Source organism: Homo sapiens, chromosome 20, assembly GCF_000001405.40.
Source record: "Homo sapiens chromosome 20, GRCh38.p14 Primary Assembly".
NCBI lineage: Eukaryota > Metazoa > Chordata > Mammalia > Primates > Hominidae > Homo > Homo sapiens.
In genome coordinates this window covers 56,212,984-56,219,871 of record NC_000020.11, presented here as the reverse complement: position 1 = coordinate 56,219,871, position 6,888 = coordinate 56,212,984, and the positions used below count along the sequence as shown (strand labels likewise).

At 43.2% G+C, this 6,888-nt stretch overlaps 1 annotated feature.

The window, feature by feature from the left end:
• Window positions 1,523-2,047: an enhancer, noted in NCBI's record as "NANOG hESC enhancer chr20:54792881-54793405 (GRCh37/hg19 assembly coordinates)". NCBI's record gives its function as "activates a minimal SCP1, AML or CMV promoter by ChIP-STARR-seq in naive H9 embryonic stem cells {active_cell/tissue: H9 hESC(naive)}" and the evidence as "EXISTENCE:reporter gene assay evidence [ECO:0000049][PMID:30033119]".

Sequence of the window (6,888 nt, the reverse complement as noted above, 5' to 3'; positions counted from 1 at the left end):
TCGTGGTGATCAGATCTGCGAACAGCACCCTTTCTGCAGAAAGCAAACTTGCCTTGCTGAGGAACTCTTTGTTTGCATGCTCAGTTTCTTTATGACTCTGAGCTTTATCTCCAACACCACTCCTGCAATTCCAAGGTCACCAAATGAATTAATGAATGAACAAGGAAGTGAAAATTGAATTAAAATAATACAGTGGTCTCTGAATAAAACCCAAGCACATAGTTGTCAGCTTTGAGTCTCTGTTTAAAAATTATAAGAAGATTGTGAGAGGAAAATAAATTTCAGGACCACAAAATCACTAAGCCAAAGGGAAAAGACAAGCTGGGAACTGTGGGGGCAAATCTGCCTCCCATTCTATCCTAAATATGGTAGCTACAAAGATAAAAAAGCTACATACCTCCCTCACAATTTGCCCACCAGGAAATTCCTTATGGAAAAAGGACAGACAGAACTCAAAGTCATCCCTCTGCTCTGGTGAGACAAATGCATATCTGATTGCTTCCTTTGCCCTATTGTCTCACTAAGCCAGACTAAGGCATAAGTAATGATTCTTATAAATTGTGTATTCAGTGAAAGGCTAATCAGAAGCTCAAAAGAGGCTAGGCACAGTGGCTTACACCTGTAATCTCAGCACTTTGGGAGGCTGAGGCAGGTGAATCATCTGAGGTCAGAAGTTCGAGACCAGCCTGGGCAACCTGGTGAAACCCCATCTCTACTAAAAATACAAAAATTAGCTGGGTGTGGTGGCACACACCTGTAGTCCCAGCTACTCAGGAGGCTGAGGAGGCAGAATTGCTTGAACCCAGGAGGTGGTGGTTGCAGTGAGCTGAGATCATGCCACTGCACTCCAGCCTGTGTGACAGAGCTAGACTCTGTCTTGGGAAGGAAAAAAAAAAAAAATGAAACCCAGAAGAATGCAACTCTTTGTCTCTTATCTACCTATGACTTGGAAGCACCCTCTCTGCTTAGAGTTGTCCCACTTCTCCTGACTGAACCAATGTACATCTTACATATATTGATTGATATCTCATGTCTCCCTAAAATGTATAAAACCAAGCTGTGCCCTGACCACCTTGGGCACATGTCCTCTGGACCTCCTGTGGCTGTTTAACAAGAGCATATTTAACCTTGGCAATATAAACTCTCCAGGTTGATGGAGAACTGTCTCAGATAGTTTTTGGTCTACAGGATCAAGGCCAATGTTCTTAAGTGGAGTCTGTTTTGCCCCAGGGGACATGTGGCAATGTCTGGAGACATTTTGGTTGTCATTCCTGGGGGCTGCTACTGACATCTATTGGGTAGAAGCCAGTGATGCTGCATGCTACAATGCACTGATCCCCTCAAGAAAGAATTATCCAGTCCCAAATGGCAATAGGGCTGAGGTTGAAAAGTCCTGTTCTAGACGCAGAGTTATTTTTGGTCCCTTAGGGTTTATTAAATAATCAAATAATCTGGTGTTGGGTGAGTTAATCAGACCCATAAATTCCTGGTTATAACTAACATTTTCTCAAACTATAAAAACAGGTAGCTGGTATCTATAGGTCCCCAAGGCTCCTGTGTTTCTTCTTTGACTTACAAATTTTCCATATGCCCTGGTGGTAATTTACTGGCTCAATTTTGCCTCGGATCAAATACCCCTTTAGGCATGGGATTTGCTGTAATTAAAACCCAAGCAGATTGAAACTTTATCCTTTGAGAAGAAGCTCATGAGATGAATAATTTATACTTTCCAATGAACCATCACCCCCCTGTGGTTTTCCTTTTCGCATTTGCTATTCCCTCTTATCCAGTGCTTCTCTTGCTCCTTTATTTCCCAGTCTCCACTGATTGCTAAATTGTTGAAGAGCAGCAGGGGAGGTGCCTCCAAGCCCAGAGAATCCTCTGGCTGTGGGGAACATCAAGAAGATATGCCACTGAGTGACACCATCGCTGACAACCCCTTTACATGCAGGGACTGCAAAAGAAACAGAATGCAAGAAGTTGCCTTTAAATTTTAAATGATGCTTAGAATGAAGGGAATAAAGTAATGAGCATGTTTCAATTCCTCAAATACTTTCTCAACATTAATCTAGAACAAATCAACTCACTGTGGCAGAGGCTGCTAGTCTGCCTTTCCCAACATCTACTCTCTTTTATTCTGTAGTAATGTTACCGGAAAAAGGTCCCAATACAGACCCCAAGGGAGGGTTCTTGAACCTTGTGCAAGGAAGAATTCAAGGTGAGTTCACAGATTAAAATGAAAGCAAGCTCATTAAGAAAATGAAAGAATAAAAGAATAGCTACTCCATAGGCAGAGCAGCAGCATGGGCTGCTTGACTGAGTATACTTATAGATATTTCTTGATTATATGCTAAACAAGGGGTGGATTATTCATGAGTTTTCCAGGAAAGGGGTGGGAAATTCTTGGCACTGAGGGTTTCTCTCCTTTTTAGACCATGTAGGGTAAGTTCCTGACATTGCCATGGCATTTGTAAACTGTCATGGTGCTAGCGGGAATGTCTCTTAGCATGCTAATTCATTATAACTAACGTGTGATGAGCAGTGAGGACAACCAGAGGTCACTTTCATTGCCATCTTGGTTTTGGTGGGTTTTGGCAGGCTTCTTTACTGCATCCTCTTTTATCTGCAAGGTCTTTGTGACCTGTATCTTATGCTGAGCTCCTATCTCATTCGATGACTAAGAATGTCTAACCTCTTGGGAATGTAGCCCAGTAGAGCTCAGCCTTATTTTACTCAGCCCCAATTCAAGATGGAGTCACTCTAGTTCAAACGCCTTTGACAGTAATAGCAAAATTACATATGGCTACTCAGAGTTAATACTCCATTTCTCAGTCTCCCTTGCAGCTAGATATGTTTGTGTGGCTAGATTCTGGACACTTAAGATAGGAGTGGAAATTTTGTGTGGCAGCTTCCAGCAACAGTTCCTAAAACAGAGCTGATGAATGGCCTTACCCCTGCACTCTGTCCTTTCTTCCATCCTGCTACCTGAAGATACCTGTGATGGCTGGAGCTCTAATCATTATTTTGGACCACGAGGACTAGGGCTACACTCAAGGGGTAACAACCTGGAAACAACTTGGGTGTATGAGAACTTACTGCCCAGAACCACCTTCTCAACCCTGGTCTGGCTATATTTGAACTTTTACTTGAAAACAAGAAACTATATATTTTTTCTTTTATTTTCTGTTTTTTGTTTTTTTGTTTTTTGACGGAGTCTTGCTCTGTCACCAGGCTGGAATGCAGTGGTGCAATCTCAGCTCACTGCCACCTCCGCCTCCCAGGTTGAAGCGGTTCCCCTGCCTCAGCCTCCCGAGTAGCTGGGACTACAGCCATGCACTGCCATGCCCAGCTAATTGTTTGGGGGTTTCACCACGTTGGCAGGATGGTCTTGAACTCCTGAGCTCATGATCCACCCACCTCAGCCTCCCAATGTGCTGGGATTACAGGCGTGAGCCACCGTGCCTGGCTGAAAATTCTATTTCTTTTTAAAGCCACCATTGTCTTGTCAATGAGAAGAGTCAAACTCTGTAAAATATTTGAAGAGATTTATTCTGAGCCAAATATGAATGACCATGGCCCATGACACAGCCCTCAGGAGATCCTGGGAACCAGTGCCTAAGGTGGTTGGGTTACAGCTTGGTTTTATATATTTCAGGGAGACATGAGACATCAATCAAATACACTTAAGAAGTACATTGGTTTCATTCAGAAAGGCGGGACAACTCAAAGCGGGGGCTTCCAGGCTGTAGGTAAATTTAAACATTTTCTGGCTAACAATTGGTTGAATTTATCTGAAGACCTGGGATAAAAGGAAATGTTTAGGTTAAGATAAAGGATTGTGGAGACCAAGTTTTATTATGCAGAGGAAACTCAGATAGTCAGCCTTCAGAGAGAGAGAGAGCAGGTTGTAAAATGTTTCTTATCAGACCTAAAAGGGTACCTGGCTCTTAGTTGATTATCTCCTGGATCTGGAAAGGAAGGAAAACAAAGGGGAAAGGGGATTCTCTATAGACTGTGAATTTTTCCCACAAGAGACTTTGCAGGGCAATTTCGAGGTATGGCAGGGAAATATATTTTGGGATAAAACATTTTGATTTTCTTCCTTATCTCATAATGTTATGCCAGGGTCAGATTGGAAAGTAAGCCATGATATATGGGGTTAAATAAAACCCATCTGATGAGAATTTATGGTTTGTAGGGAATAACTCCCTCGAGTTCCTAGATAGGAATTTGGGCAAGATAAAAAAAAATCAGAGCTTAGTCCTCAGTCTTCAGAAAAATGTCATCCTAACTGATGCCTAGACCAAGAGAATGCAGCCACAGCTTTCATCTTGATTTCTGTACTTGAGAATATGTTTTCTTCCATGGAAACTCTTCTAAATTCATAAAGTGGACTTCACAGAGGCTTGAGAGTGTTGCCCAAGAAAAGTGCCTTTGAGATGACAGAGAATGGGGAGATTTTTAGCTTAATGAATAGTAGGCACTCAAAAATGTGCTAAGTCAGTGCATGATGTAGGATGCTGCAAATAAACATTTATTGAGCATCTGCCATAAGCCAGGGACTCTGCGAGGCTCAGGCCAGAGGGGTCACGAACAGAAAAGTAAATTCTGGGTCAGTGGCCTTAAGAACACTGAGATAAATGGGAGAGAAGAGCTTGTAAGCAAAGAATCACAACTTGGGATGATGAGCATGGCAGGATGTTTTGAAATCTTAACCAGTTCCTGTTTTCTACCTCTCTCAATACTTGAGCTGAGGTGATGTGACTGCCGCAGGTAGTCCCAATATCCAGACTGCCCTGTCATGGAACAGTGCACTTTGTAGTTGGACCCACGGTTTTCCAGCTTAAGATGTTTTCTAGCCAACTTGGCGGCTTTAGGGAGACTGGAGAAAAAACAGAATGTAAGAAGTTGCTTCAAAGTTTTAAATGATGCTCAGATAGAAGGGAATACAGTAAAGAGTACATTTCAACTCATTCTACGGATGGAATGAGGAGGAAGTGAGGAGCCAGTCTGCACACTGGACTCTTGAGAGGAATACCCTCCCTTTTCCCCTTTTCCTTCTTCCTGGTGATGGGAAGGAGAATGGGATGGCGGGGGCTCTTGAAACAGTCTTGGATAATAAGTTAGAAGCTGTGTGTTGATGCTGGCAGAATGACAAATGAGAAACCATCCTAGCATTGTTCCGACAGTTGTGGAGCTACCATACCAGCTCTGAGCTGCCTACCTTCCCCACCACCTTTTTTTTTTTTTTTTTTTTTTTTTTTTTAAAAAGGTAGGCTCTTGCTCTGTCACCCAGCCTGGAGTGCAGAGGTGTGATCATAGCTCACTGTAGCTTCAAACTCCTGGGTTCAAGAGATCCTTCCACCTCAGCCAGAGTAGCTAAGACTACAGGTGTGTGCCACCACACTTAGCTAATTGCAATTATATGTATATATTTTTTGGTAGAGATCTGGTCTTGCTATGTTGCCCAGGCTGGTCTCAAACTCGTGGCCTCAAGTGATCCTTCTGCCTCAGGCTCCCAAAGTGCTGGGATTACAGGCGTGAGCCACTGTGCCAGGCTTCTCCCTGCATTTTCACATGGGAAAAAAGAAACCTCTCTCTTTCATATGCCACTGCTATTTTGGATCTCTGGGTCCAGCAGCTAAACCTGTATGCAATTAAATATGCTCAACTCCTGTGTCCTTATCCCTCAGCTACACTGATCCCAGTGAGGGAGTAGAGACATGGTAAATATCAAAGATGACCTTGGTGTGTCTGAGACCAGAGATACGCTTGTTCCCTATCCCTTGGCAAAGCCTGGGGATATGGTCCTACAATGCATAGGAGTAAAAGCATGCCGGTCCGGCTCATCTAGGCTTTTGTGCCTTGGACACCCTCACAGTGTTTCCTGAGGCCTCCGCAGGGTTAAGAGGCATCAGGATGATTTTGTGGGACCAGAGGGGTTCAGCAGCAGATCTTCCACAGCCTGGAGAGGACAGGGAGCAGGAGTATTTCCCAGGAGCCCAAGCTAGTGTTAGGAGTTGGGGAGGAGGCAGCATGGTGGACTGCCGCACGTGGTGAAGTTGGACCGTGACACTAGGTCCAGGCATTCCCTGCCTGGATGTTTGATGTCACAGAAGCCTCCAGAATATAGAAGTCACCTTGAGGAAGGAGGCGGCTACCAACTGATAGAAATTTAGTTTCTAACACTGGATGGAATGAAGCCTAGAAACAGAACCTTTGAGTGATGCACAAAATTATGTATCTTTAATAGTCTGTGTTTGCAGACTGAAATGCATACCTGCTCCAAGTGCAAGAATGATTAACCTGGAGAGGCGTCACAGAAGGAGCAGTGTATTGCTTATGTCACCTGGGGGTTGGGATGAGTGAAACTTGTTTTTTTGTTTCTTGGTTGGTTGGTTGGTTTTACTCAAAATGTATTTGTCCAGACATTTTCCTTCAGAATTATGTGATCATTATGAGTGAGACTGGACACAGATTCCTTTGGTTCAGCTCTCATTGCTGCCATTTATTAACTCTGTGGCATTGGGCTAGTTTAACTTAACCTTTTGAGGGTTTAGTTTTGTAATCTTTAAAATGGAGGTTATAACAGTGGTTATTTACTGAGCTGTTATTAAGTTTGATTAAACAATGTGTATTAGAATTTATCATGGTGCTTGCACGTAGTAAGCATTTGATTGGTGTTTGCTATTGTTATTATTATCTAATACTAAAAAAGATCATGTCTCTCCTTGTATGGACTGTATTAGAAATAGTATTTTATTTGGCTGGGCGTGGTGGCTCATGCCTGTAATCCCAGCACTTTGGGAGGCCGAGGTAGGCAGATCACAAGGTCAGGAAATCGAGACCATCCTGGCTAACATGGTGAAACTCTGTCTCTACTGAAAA